General features: G+C 44.4%; 2 annotated features.

The window, feature by feature from the left end:
* Nucleotides 9,242–9,536: an enhancer, noted in NCBI's record as "tiled region #10354; HepG2 Activating DNase matched - State 5:Enh". NCBI's record gives its function as "activates a minimal TATA promoter and a strong SV40 promoter by Sharpr-MPRA in HepG2 cells {active_cell/tissue: HepG2}" and the evidence as "EXISTENCE:reporter gene assay evidence [ECO:0000049][PMID:27701403]".
* Nucleotides 11,657–11,786: an enhancer, noted in NCBI's record as "active region_19723". NCBI's record gives its function as "activates an Ori minimal core promoter by ATAC-STARR-seq in GM12878 lymphoblastoid cells {active_cell/tissue: GM12878}" and the evidence as "EXISTENCE:reporter gene assay evidence [ECO:0000049][PMID:35858748]".

The raw sequence follows: 14,162 nt of genomic DNA on the forward strand, positions 1-14,162 counted from the left end.
CAATTACAAATGGTATTGTATTTTTAATTTCAATGGTCACATGTTCATTGCTAATGTATAAAAACACAATCAATTTTTGTATATTTATCCTGTATCCTGTGGCCTCAATAAACTTACTTTTTAGTTGTAGGAGGTTTTCTCTTTTTATTTTTTATTTCTTGGAATTTTCTATGTGGACAGTCATGTCATTTGCAAGTAGGAACCATTTCATTTTTTCCTTTTCTACTTTAATGCCTTTTATTGCCTCTTCTTGTTTTATTTTACTGGCTAGAAATTCCAACACATTGTGGAATTAGAGTGGTGAAAGCAGACATGCCTGCCTTCTTCCTAAATTTAGGGGTAAAATATTCATTCCATTAGTAAGTATTAGGTTAATTGTGGGGATGTTGTAGGTTCTCTTTCTTCAGTTGAGGAGGTTTCCTCTATTGCTAGTTTTCTGAGTTGTTTTTAACCATAAATGGATATTAAATTTTGTCAAATGTTTTTTTCTGCATTAATTGATATGATTGTGTAATTTTCTTCTTTAGCTTACTAATGTGATGATTATATGGAATGATTTTTGAATATTGAATCATCTTTGCTTCGTTGGAATAAACTTTATTTGATTCTGGTATAAAATTTTTCTAATATATCACTAAATTCTGTTTGCTAATAACTTGCTAAGGATTTTATATTTATACTCATGAGATATATTGATCCGTAGTTTTCTGTTTTTAGTAAAGTCTTTGATTTTGGTATCAGGATAATACTAGCCTCATAAAATGAATCAGGAAGTATTCTCTCCTCTCCTATTTTCTGGAAGAAATTTGTATAAAATTGCTTTAAATATTTGGTAGCTTTCTCCGGTGAAAATATCTGGACCTAGAGATTTCTTTTTTGAGAGTTTTAAAATTATGACCAATTTTCTTAATACTTAAAAGGCTGTTCAAATTGGCCTTTTCTCCTAATGTTAAGTGAGTTGTGATAGTTTGTGTTTGTAAAGAGAGTTTCATTTCCTCTAAGTTGTCAAATGTATGTGTGTAAAGTTACTCGTAGTGTTCCCTTATTATTTTTTATATCCTCAAGATCTGTAGTGAAATTCCCTGTTTCATTCCTGATATTGGTCATTTGTGTCTCCTCTCTTTCTTTTTTTTTTGTCAATTTTGCTAAGGGTTTATCAATTTTATTGATTTTTTTCAAAGGATCATCTTTTTGTTTTATTGATTTTTTCTACTGTTGTTTTAAATTTTATTGATTTCTGCTCTATCATTATTATTTCCTTCCTGCAGCTTGCTCTGGGTTTATTTTGCTCTTCTTTTTCTAGGTTCTTGAGATGGGAGCTAGATTATTGATTTGAGACTTTCCCTCTTTTTGAGTGTATTCATTTAGTGCTGTAAATTTCCTTTTCAGCACTGTTTCAGCTATGTCCCACCATGTTGGTATGTTGTATTTTCATTTTCATTCAGTTCAATGTATTTTTTTTATTTCCCCCGAGACTTCCTCTTTAACCCATAGGCTATTTAGAAGCGCATTATTTTTTTTTTTTTTTTTTTTTTTTTTTTTTTTTTTGAGACGGAGTCTCGCTCTGTCGCCCAGGCTGGAGTGCAGGGGCGGGATCTCGGCTCACTGCAAGCTCCGCCTCCCGGGTTCACGCCATTCTCCTGCCTCAGCCTCCCAAGAAGCGCATTATTTAGTTTCCTAGTATTTGGAGATTTCTTGGTTATCTTTCTGTTTGTTGATTGCCAGTTTGATTTCAGTGTGGTCAGTGAATACACTCTTTCTGATTTCAATTCCTTTACATTTGTGGAGGTTTGCTCCAATGACCCAGGAAGGGGTCCATCTTGGTCTGTGTTCCAAGTGCACTTGAAAAGAATGTGTATTCTGCTATCCAGGTGAAGTGTTCTATAAATGTCTATTACACCCTACTGGTTGATTATGTTGGCATCTATTGATTGTCTTTTTCATTCAGTTGATATTGTCCTGGTTCTTGGTATTACAGGTGATTTTCTATTGAAACCTGGACACTTTTGTACTGTAAGTCTCTATCTCTTATCTAAATCTTCTGTTTCACTGGGGAGGAAGTTCTCATCACTGTCTGGTGGGGGTGAAAGTCCCAGCTCCCTATTTGGCCTTCTCTGACACCACCCTGATAGGGCATTGAAATGCCTCATTACAGTCTCAGGAAGGTGGAAATCTGTGCTCCCCATTCAGCTTTTGCTTGCATGAGTTGGGATGGGGAGACACATTTTCTGTGGTGGCTGGAGTAAAGCCGTTATTATCTAAAAATTTGTTGTGTTGATAGTCTGCCTTCTTCCTGGTTCTTTACCTGAAGAGATCGGGCTTTTGTTGGGGCTTTTTAAAATTTGTACCCATTGGTGTTTTTGGGTTGCCAGTTTCTTCAGCTCAGAGTTTGGTACATATGAGACAAAAAGAAAAATCCAGAGAACTCACCGACAAATCATTCGTTGGGTCCAGAGATCTCTAGCTGATCTTCCTGCTATTCTCCATCTTTCGGAGTCTTCTTATGTTTGTTTCATATATGCTGTCCAGAGTTTTTACTGTGCTTAGTGGGAGAAAAAGTAAAAGTATTTCTACTGCATCTTCCCAGAGGCAGAAGTCTACTGGAACACTTTCATCCATTTTGTCTTATTTCTATGCATTTTAAAACACTTGAGAAATTTCTGTATATACAATTCTGCTTTTTAAAAACTTACCCTTATAAATATGATTTTAAGGGTTACAGAATATTCTATTAAGTTGATATCATGTAATTTCTTAGCCATTTTCTTCTTTATCATTTGATTTGTTTCCAACATTTAATTGTGTAGTTCCTTAGCCCTTCTCTTAATGAACATGTGGCTTGTTTCCAAGGGTCTACCAATGTAAGTATCACTATAATTAACATCTCTGTGCATAAAATTTTATTTCCTTACTTGGGAGTTATTTTTTCAGTATAAATTCCTATAAATTGAGTTACTAAGTTAAAAGGTAAGGGCATTTATTGCACATTGTATATTTTTAAGGGATGGTTTGGAATATATCTAACAGAAGCATTAATGGAAACTTGCCTATAGTATTTGGATTCAGAGGGGCCCAAATTCCCTCACTCCCATTTCACTTTGAGATTGAGAACATCACCAGCCTAATTTAAACAGATGTGACTGTCATGGTCCTTCTGCAGGGGTCCTTTACCAACGTTCAAGTCAGGAATTAGTTATTAGTGTTTGTCTTAGCATGTTACCTCCAAGGAATGATCAGCAAATCTTTTGTTACCCCACTACCATGTTTCTTATCTTCACTGGGGTGTATATTCTAGCAATAAATCATTTTCAAGTATTTATATGTGCTATGGTTATATGTGCTTTATGTATAAAGTTCTTATAGCTTCCATCAGTCACTAAAAAATGAGGGCTACATCTGTGCTGTTCAAATCAGTAGCTACTAGCCACATGTTGCTAAATTTAAATGAATTAAAATTAAAATTTTGAGTTCTCATTTGCACTCACCAGGCTTCAAGTGCTCAATAGCCACATGTGCCTCATGGCTAGTGTGTTGGACAGTGTGTGGTTCTATTGGATAGTGCTGCTGAAACAATTCCTCTTTGGCCTCAGCTGTCACAGAGAACCTGTGTTTCATAATTACCTTTCCACGACTCAGTTCAGATTTGAAGTGAAGTACATCCTCCTGCTCATCGAAGACACAAAGGAGCACCCCACCTGAGGAGGCTGATGGTGACTAGAATCATGTACAGTCACTGAGGACTCACTAGGCACCAGGCACCCCACTAAACACATCTACCTCCCAACAACCCCCAGGCATGGGTACTACTTTACACATAATGAAAAATTCTGGGAAGAAAATTCTTCCATTCAATCTAAGTAATTTCTTGGGAAAGAATGCTTTAATATGCTGCTCAGGACACAGGGTGAGCCTCTGCAGTGGTACCCAAGGAATAAAACGTACTCATCAGATTGCTCTATAATCATTTAATTTTCCGAGGCGGGGGCAGAGGATAGAAAAAGGTATCTATCAGGGGAATGGAAGCATGAAGCACGTGTGGAGCTCCTCAGTCTCTTTGAAAAGACTCATGTGATGTAGGAAGGACCCTTGGTTGCTTTTCTCCACACAGACCTGCAGGCAGCAGGGCAAGGAAAAAGGAGAGACATGCGGACTGGTGTCTCCCACACGAGAGTCAGAAAAACATCGGTTCAATATTGGATTCTATCTCTCACTGGCTGTGAGAGCTCATTCAAGCCTCAGTATTCCAACCTGCAGTATGGGGAGAATACCACATAACATGGACGTTTGCCTGAGGCCTGAATTGAAGGAGAGAGACAAAGGCTTCATCAGTGCTTCCTCCCAGGTCAACTCGGGCTGCATGCCCCCGTGACCAGACTGACACAGGTGGCACTTTCACCCCACGGCCAACTGATACAGAGCTACACAGCATTAAGGAGGGGCTTATCTGTGCTCCCTGAGAAGGAAAGGGTGGGCTCCCCTAGCCTAGGGCTGCTGGCTCACCCTGGGCTCCTGGGAGAGGAGACAGGTTAAAGTCAGACGGCACTTTGGGTCCTCCCAGGATCTTGCTGCCAGACCCTCAGAGTGGAGGAGATGATGGAAACTCATAGCCCCTTGAACTGCTCGATGCTGCCAAGAAGCAGCAAGGTGTAGCATCTTTGCAATTCTGTATGCAGCGGAGTGGGAGCTCCAGCACTCCCTGAGATATTGAGCTTTAAACCTGTCACAGTAAATAGTCAGGAATTAATACACCAACTCCTCAGCTCTGGCAGTGCAATTTGCCATCTAAATTGTTACCTTCACCAGAACGGTACATAAACAAAGTCAGCAGGTTGCAGGAACTTTTCAGCAGACATGGTGAAACTTGTTCTTCCCTAAGAAGAGAGAGGGAGGAGTAGGGAAAGGGAGTTGACATGTCACACATCCCTGTGGTGTGCCAAGCAGTGAGCTGGTGCTTAGCAGGCACTGCCTCTTTTATCTTTACAACCCCCTGTGAGGGAGGGATTATCATTCTCATCCTGCCAGTGAAAAAAGTGAAGGTCAGAGTCATCTGCCCAAGGTCACTAAGCTGGTAAGTCAAAGAGCCACCCTCAGCCCCAATGGTTCTGACCCAAGATTCATGCTACACTACTGAATCAGGTCTTCAAACAGTTCCCGGAGATAGGAGTCAATATATAGCACGCCAGCTGTTCTGCAGTGAAGTGGAACTGTGGACAGAGCTCTGCCCAGACCCCAGGGACCTTCCTTTTAACCTTTCTGTGCACCCTGTCACCAACTGCTGTGTTGCTTCACTTCTAACAGCCACATGTACCTCTCCCTTAAGAGGACTGACTGTCTAAGGGCTGCAGCAGCACTCTGCCCACATGAGCAAAAACCTGGAAGTGCCTGGAGGCCCTTGGACAAAGAATGACTGTTTGGGGATTATGAAAGCATAGCTCCATTGCCTGCAGTCAGGACACACTCTGAGGTGTGACACTTTCCAGAGCACCCTGTAGGACCAGGTAGAGGCTGGGACTCTGCCTAGGATCACCTTGTGAGGTTTCCCACTCTGCCTTGCTTCCCCATCCCTTCGGTTGCTTCTGGATGCACCTCCTTAATAAATCAGTTTTCTGTGGATGCCTGTCTCAGGGTCTGTTTCTGATAAACCTACCCTAAGACAGAGTATTTCCTTACTGAAGGGAACCAATTTGTATGTGGGACAGGGTTGACTTAACAACCCAGGCTTCTTATTCTCTATCAATAAGTTTCTTGAGTCCAGTACTTCTCTTTCAGCGTCCATCAAAGTGTTAGCAAATGAATCTCTAACCTACTGATACAACAGAAATAGTTTTGGAGGTATAATGGGTCAAATTTTGAACCAAAATTCCAAAAGTACATATTTAAATCCTGTTCCAAAAAAGTGTTTTTTCTCTACAAAGAGATCTTAATATGACTGGCATGATGCCTTCAACCAGCTTAGGGTACAAAACAGTCATATTCCTTCTATTTTTCAATCACTCAAGTCCCACCTTATCTGGAAATAAAATTCCTCCTTTGGCCTTTCTCTAACCCCATCTCCCAATATTCCTGGGCCTTACTCAGACTTAGGAAGTCAATCCTGCTTCCAAATGCCTGGTAGAGTGAAAACACGAATCTGCTCAGCTCCCACTCCTATTATGGTTTCTGTGGCTGCCACATGGTGACACCATTAAAAATGGGTTCTGCGGCCGGGTGCAGGGGCTCACATCTGTAATCCTAGCACTTTAGTGGGCCGAGGCAGGAGATTTGCTTGAGGCCAAGAGTTCAAGACAAGCCTGGGCAACATAGTGAGACCCTATCTCTACAAAAAAAAAAAGAAAAAAAAATAGCCCGGCATTGTAGCACACACCTGTATTCCTAGCTACTCAGGAAGCTGAGGCAGGAGGATCCATTGAGCCCAAGAGTGTGAGGCTGCAGTGAGCTATGATCACACCATTATACTCCAGCCTGGGTGACTAAGACCCTGCCTCTAATAAAAAAGAAAGAAAAAGAAGAAAGAAAGGAAAGGAAGGAAGAAGGAAGGAAGGAAAAAAAGGAAGGAAGGAAGGAAAGAAAGAAAAAAAGAAAGAAAGAGAAAGAAAAAAGAAAGAAAGAGGGAGGGAGGGAGGGAGGAAGGCAAGGAAGAAAGGAAACAGAAAGAAAGAGAAGAGTTCCTTCAGACTTGCATGGATGCTCCTCCTCTAGGGTCAGAGCCACAGTGCTCAGCTGCAGCCCAACTCTTAAGAGCGCTGTTCTCATACAGTCACATGACTGAAGGATACAACCAATGTCATATGCAGCTGGTCCAGCTGTGCACAGAAGCCTCTCCTGTATAGGCCTCTGCACAGTCTGTGTTGCCCCAGCTTGGGCTGCAGGGTTGCAGTTCTTTTGATTGACATCCACATGATCAGCCAGTTCCATATGCACAGCTGGAAGACCATCCAGCCACAGCTCTCCTCCCTATCTCGGCCCTAGCTCTTGCCCCACTCCCTGTACCCCCACACACCAGCCTCTAGTCCCTGCTGGTGAGCCTGGCTCACCAGCCCAGGCCTCCTTCCTCCCTGGTGTGTTCGCCTTTGGGCTTCTTGACGTCCTCCTGCCAGGGAGCCTCAGTCAGGATAATCCAGTGTACCAGAGAGGTCCTAATGCCTCAGAACATTAACAGCTTGGGGTACCCCACCAGTCACATCCCCTCCATTCTCCTCTATTCTTCACTCACTCAACTTCCATCTTCCTACCTCCCCTCCCAGGAAGCCTAATGATATGGGCTGAATAGTGTCCCTGTAAAATTCACATGCTAAAGTCCTAACCCCAGTACCTCAGAATGTGACCCTGCTTGGAGATATGGCCTTTAAGAAGGTAACTCCGGTAAAATTAGGTCATATGGGTGGGCCCTAATCCAATAGGACTGGCTCCCTTATAAGAAGAGGAGATTAGGACACAGACACACAGAGAGGGAACACCGTGTGAAGACACAGGGAGATGAGGATGGCCTCTGCAAGCCAAGGAGAAAGACCTCAGAGGAAACCAACACTGCCGGCACCTTGATGTTGGCCTTGTAGCCTCCATAACTGTGAAAAAATTAATTTCTATGGTTTTAGCCACACAGTCTGTGGTACTTTATTATGGCATCCTGGCAAACTAATACAAAGCCCCTTGCAAACTTCCCCACCATCCCTCCTTCCAGCTCTGCCTCCCAAGGGATATTAGGAAGAGCCAGCTTTGTTCAGGCACAAGAGGTGTCCTCCCTTCCCCGAGGGCAGTGGTGGCCTCCTCATCTTACATGTTAATGACAAAAAGGAGCCATTCTCATTTACAAGGTAACTTCCTGCATCCCCCAGCCAGAGAAGACACTGTAGGCTTCTTCTACTACAACGTTTCACTACCATAATTGAACCCACCCAGCTACCCGCACTGACTCCCAAACTCAGGTCTGTGAGCTTTTGTTCTTGCCTTGCACTGTCAGCAAACGTTGGTCCTCCCAATGCTATGGCATGGTAATGACACCACTTAATTCTCTATTTCACTCTCTAGAATTGGTGAGGGAATATACAGAATGTTATTTTTCAAAAAAATTTTAGCTGCCTGGAAGGAAGTCTCTGCTCTCATACATAGAAAAGTAACAGGAATATTATCTCCCTCATGTGCAGAGCTACCTTGAGTGCCTAAGGGACTTCCCCAGAGAGATCCAAAGCAACACTGGGTCCCTGAGATGGGAGTCACTGCTAATTTGGTTCCCTGGGTCACATAGAACTGGAAGGAGGTGGCATAGGGAGAAGGAGGCTGGTATTTTCTCTCTGCTCACAGGACTGCTCTACACTTTACATTTCCCAAAGGCCATAATTATTTCCCGGAGAAGAAATTCAAATGACCCAGATAGTTAATTCAGTGAGATTGGCCCAGAAAGTATTTACCTAAAAGGCAGTTTTGTCGAAAAGAACGTCACAACATAGTCAGGGCTTGCTCTCATTGCCCGAAAAATGCAGGGGCCAGATCCAAGGCTGTAAGCCTAATAATTAGAGAGGGCAGGAGGTTCTGGAGTTTGGAAGGCAGAGACAGGAAGGGAGAGTCAGAGAGAGGGAGGCAGAGTGTGAAGGCAGGAGGGAACAAGAATGAACGAGAGAAACAGAGAGAGATTGTCTTGCCAGCCACTCAACACAATGACCAGCTCAGGGGCTATCCATGATGCACCTGGATCCTAGAAGTTCCCTCTGCAAGGAAAAAAGTAGAAAAGCAGAGAAGCTTATCTTTGGCTGCCTCCATCTCCCTTTTCATGCTCATCACTGACCAGCTAGAACCATGTTTTTCTTCCTCCAAGGCCCCAGGTTCTCCTCCCACCATGACTGAGCAGCAACTTCACATTATCCCCTGCTGTTATCCCTAGTCCAAACACTAATTCCCTTAGTATAATACAAAGAGCTCAGCTTTGAGTCAGGAAGGCACTTGCTGGTGGAATTAACTAACACAGATGCTGTGTGTCCAGCACCATGCTCAGGATTAGACATGAGCTGACTACATTGCCATTGTACAAATAAGAAAACGGAGTGGCAGGTGCTCTACGGAAGCGTGATGATCTCAGCACAAGGCATTCCACTGGACGTAATAAAAGCAAATACTCATTAAGCAGTTACTACGTGCCAGGAACTGTGCTAAGGCCTTTGTTGGAAATTATTTCATTAAATTCATGTTTAAAAAAAAAAGTAAGTATAATTATTATCTCCATGCTATAGATAAGGAAATTAGGAAAAAAGCCAGGACTTAAACCCAGGTTTAATCACCGTGCCATTAATGAGCACATTACTAGGCCTCTTTGTGCAGGAAAATGTTGCAACAGATTGTCAAGGTCCTTTTCTCCACCCTCTCATCCCTGTCCAATGAACAACCCCAGGCAGCTACCAACAAATTGACCTTCAACCCCTGAACTCAATGATAGGTCTTCGAAACAGCCAGAGTTGAGTTACATGGGGTTAGAAAGGCTGTGCTTATGGAGAGTGACTCTGTCGTTCGTGTAGCTATGGCATGGTTTGCACTCTTGGGGAAGGGGCTTTACCTGCTTAATAACCCTGACCTCTACCCACCCTGCACTCTTCCCTGATTGGATGAGGTCGAAAAAAGCTACTGAGAAGTTCTTGTGTCTTTGGGCTCTGGCAGCCTGCAGGAGACCTGCATTCTTCCCTGCTCCCCAAATGTAGGGTCGGCCCCCACCTGGGGAGGACTGCAATGGTTCAGCAAAGCCTGCTTGAGATGTAAGTCTGTCTAATCATAAGTTTGGTATTTTGATATCCACAGTTGCCACATAGCTAAGGTTCATTCTCTACCATCAGCTTTGCTGGTGAGGATGCTGATTTTCCGTTGTCAATCCAGAGGCTTTCTAGATCTGCCTCAATGATTCAGAATCCAGGTGGAGAAGAGACATGCTATACACTGGACTCAAATTCCAACAACAGAAGTTGTCTTGTACAGAGCAAGAATGGCAAATGGGCTGAGTAAAACTAAGGGAGCCCTAAAAGAGTTAGACTAGTTCTAGGTGCAAATGTCAGTACATAGTCCAACCAATGAGAGTTCAATGACTCAAGATTAAAAAAAAAAAAACAGGCAAAGCAGTGGCTCACAACTATAATCCCAGTGTTGGGAGGCCGAGGCAGGAGGATTGCTTGAGCCCAAGAGTTAGAGACCTCCCTGAGCAATATAGCAAGACTCCGTCTCAACAACAACAAAATTAGCCAGATATGGTGGCACACACCTGTAGTCCCAGCCATTCAGAAGGCTGAGGCAGAAGGATAGCGTGAGCTCAGAAGTTCAAGGCTATAGTGAGCTATGATCACACCACTGCACTCCAGCCTGGGGACAGAGTGAGATCATGTCTCCAAATAAAAAATAAAGATAAATTAAAAAGCACTTTCTACTGTCCCATTACTTGAGTCACAATATTTCAATGCATGCAAAAGTATATATAGGTATTTATCCAAATAGGTAGCTATCTCAGGTGGGTAGGCATATAGGAATTGTGAATTTAGTTTCATTTTTTTCATTTCTTAGGATTTAGAGTCTATTTATGTGATATTTGAGGATCCTGCTTCCATGGACTGACATTCTTGCAAGCCCAAGCACAGAGCTGACTCTGCCAGCATCTTTTCCAGTTCTACCCCACCTATGAGAACCCTAAGAGTTAGGGACCACACAGGACAGATCAACCCTCTTTGTGATCCTGGCTGTGCCACTTATCACATTCAGCCTGTTTCCTCCTCTGGAAAAGAAAAATAGCAGGACGTCCCTTGCAAGGTATTTTTGAGGACTAATTGATAAGTGCAAACAATTTCTGAATGTTTATAGTCTTAGTTTGAAGGAATAAAACTTAAGTGGAGTTAAAGATAAAGGGCAAAAAGACCAATGAGAGAAAAGGGGCTAGAGACCATGTGGGGATTTAGTGGATTTAGTGCTGCTTGGAGGAAAGCCCCTGGGCAAAACAAGATTAACTTCTACAATCTTCTCCAGATTCTGAGAATGCACCAGATCACGGAGCCTAAGACCAATGTCTTGGTATTTGGCCTACACCTTACCACACAATCGTGCATTAAAAGCATAGCTCAGGGTCAACAGGACCCCCTGGTTTCCTGTGTGTCAGTCTGGCCTTCCCAGTCAGAACACAAGCTCCTTGTCTCACACGGGGCGTCTCTGTGTGCCCCGCAGCCCTGGGTGCAGAGCAGACCCTCAATAAATATTTGCAGATTGTCTGCTGGGAACGAGGCCTGACTTACTCCAGCTGCATCACAGACCTTCTGCCACCTCTGGGGCCCGTGGCTGCCTTTCAGACCTCAATGATACAGACGAAATGTGATTGCTACCAACTGTGGATAAAATAACCGTTTCCTTATACTCCAAGGGGAGAAAAAGCCAAGGTAGAGGCCTGGAAGGCTGTGGTGGCCACTGCAACAGGGCCCATGTGAATATCACAGACCTTCCATTTCTGTGACATAGGGAAAGGTCAGGTGAATGCTGACTTTTCTGGCTGGCTGGGGCATTACCAGGGCAGTGCAGCAGGGCCCATAGGAGAAAAAAATGGATGGGAGGACAGGAAGTCACCAAAGAGCCCTGCATTCTGCAATGATGTGGCGCTCTGACCACGCCCAGCCGCCCAGCAGCTCCAGCGAGGAAACAACTTCCTTTTGTGGTCTGACCCTGGCTGGCCGCCAGGGCTTCAACAAGAGCCTTGTGATGTGCACTTTTGAAATGTGTTGGTGGTGCGGAATGGCATGTCTAACTCGTGTTTAGTGCCCTTCAGCGTTTACGTCTCTTTCCCACGCCCACTGACGCAGACTGGCTGCATGTGGGGAGCTGGGGTAGTCGGCCAACCCAATGCCTGACCTTGTGGCCGGGGCACTTGAGACACGCTTCCTTTTCCCCTAAACCTGGCCTCAGTCAGGCCAAGGGTACGGCTCCCTGAAAGGACAAAGAAAAGAGAAAAGGAAGCCTGACTGATACTAGCTGCCAGACAGGCATTATGTTGTTTTTAATCTTCATGACAATTCTGTGGGGTTTTATGGCCTCCCTTTTACAGATGGGGAAACTGAGGTTCAGAGAAGTTAAATCTTTTTCTCAGGGTAAACACAATTAGAGCATGGGGAGCAGGGACTCCACCCTAGCCTGTCTCCTCCAATGATCAGACTCTTTCCAGACACCACAACTCCTCTCTTAAGACCCCAGGGTCACTCTCCTTGGGGTCAGAGGCAGCCACACTCCATGTTTCTATTGCCTGCATCCACGTCACAGATCAGAGTTTGAGAAGGGTCAGAGTCAGCCAGGTCAGTTCTCTCCATGCCCATACTTTGCTTTAAAGGCTTTTCACTCGATTTGGGTTGTTAATTCTCAAAGTATGTCCGTCAACGTGCAAAAGTTACTGTGCATATTCTTTTCCCACTGTTTTCTTGTTTTTCTGTTGTTTGTTACCTAAGGTAGCTCCTGCCAGTCTCTGTGTGTACTAGGCAATTCGTGCATTGCTATAAAGAAATACCTGAGACTGGGTAATTTATAAAGAAAAGAGGTTTAATTGATTCACAGTTCTGCAGGCTGTCCAGGAAGCATGGCAGCATCTGCTTCTGAGGAGGCTGAGGAGGCTTTTACTCATGGCAGAAGGCAAAGCAAGAGCAGGCACGTCACATGGTGAGAGCAGGAGCAAGAGAGAGAGAGTGCTAGGGGAGAGGTCCCACATACTTTTAAACAACCACATCTCACAAGAGCTCACCACTATCGTAAAGACTACACCAAGCCATGAGAGATCCGCCCCCGTGACCCAAACACCTCCCACTAGCCCCACCTCCAGCACTGGGGATTATAATTCAACATGAGATTTGGGTGGAGACAAATATCCAAACTACATCACTGTGGAAACACCAGCAAGTTGTCTGAGTGGTCTCTAGGAAACCCAAACCCCAACCAGTGGATGATAAATAGCCCCTCGTTTGTGAAGTGCTAACACCTTGGTGACACAGCCCTTCACGTCCCCTCCACTCACGTGATCTGGGAGGAGCTGCTCCAACCACACAGCCCCTGCCTTGGGCTAGTGCCCTCAGGAGATTAGAGTTCGAAGGCACATTGTTTATTTGGGAGGTAATCCCAGGAAATTCCAATAGGATAGTAAGGAAAGTGAGACGGGGAAGGAAAGGACAGTACAGGGGGTGTTCCTGATCAAGATGCCTCTGTGCGCAACTGGGCTCAGTCCCATGATGGCTCTCTGGGAGACTGGATAGGACATGCCTCAGAGTTGTGCCATCCAAGGGACAAGGAAGCTGGTGCATTTGCACACCAGTCATTGGTTTAGGGCTGCTCCCAGGTCAAAGTCCCTAGGCAGAGAGAGACATGTGGCTGCACACTTGTGGTGGCTCATACCTATAATCCCAACAATTTTGGAGGCCAAAGCAGAAGGATCACTTGAGTTCAGGAGATCAAGACCAGCCTGGGCAACATAATGAGACCTCATCAATACAAAAAAACTAAAAATGAAAAAATTAGCAAGACATGGTGGCCTGCACCTGTAGTCCTAGCTACTTGGAAGGCTAAGGTGGGAGGATGGATTGAGCCCAGGAGTACGAGGTTATAGTGAGTTATGATCACACCACTGCTCTCCAGCCTGAGTGAGACCCTGTCTCTTAAAAAGGAAAAAATTGCATGCTTGAGGTCAGCAGGTATATGGAAATAAAAGGTGCCATGGGAGATGGGCAGCTGCCAAGAGCACAGCAGGAGCCTCCATGGTGGTGCCATACAGGCTACCAGGAATGCAGGACAAAGCTCTTGCCCTCTTCCCTTCCTCCTCCTTGTTGGTTTAAATTTGGAAGATGCTACAGCAAGGGCTGTAGGCTGCCTTGTCTGCCTGCCTGCACACTTTCTCAGGGATCTCAGACCAGGGAAGAAACCATTAGGGGACCCTGTCCAGATTGGTGGAGTCTGAGGAGATAAAGATGGGGCACGTGGACTGGTAATCACTCAAAGGCAAACCTTCCAGAGAGCAGAAGAGGACTGACCCAGAGATCCCTTGATGAACCTAGCACATCTGCTAAGTGACCACTTGACAAGCTGAAAGACTGCAGTGAAAGCCTGCAACAATTGTAAGATTTCCAAACTTTTCCCAGGAGTTGTCCGCTAGAAGCAAAGATGACTGCAAAACAGAATCA

Source organism: Homo sapiens, chromosome 3 (genome assembly GCF_000001405.40).
Source record: "Homo sapiens chromosome 3, GRCh38.p14 Primary Assembly".
NCBI lineage: Eukaryota > Metazoa > Chordata > Mammalia > Primates > Hominidae > Homo > Homo sapiens.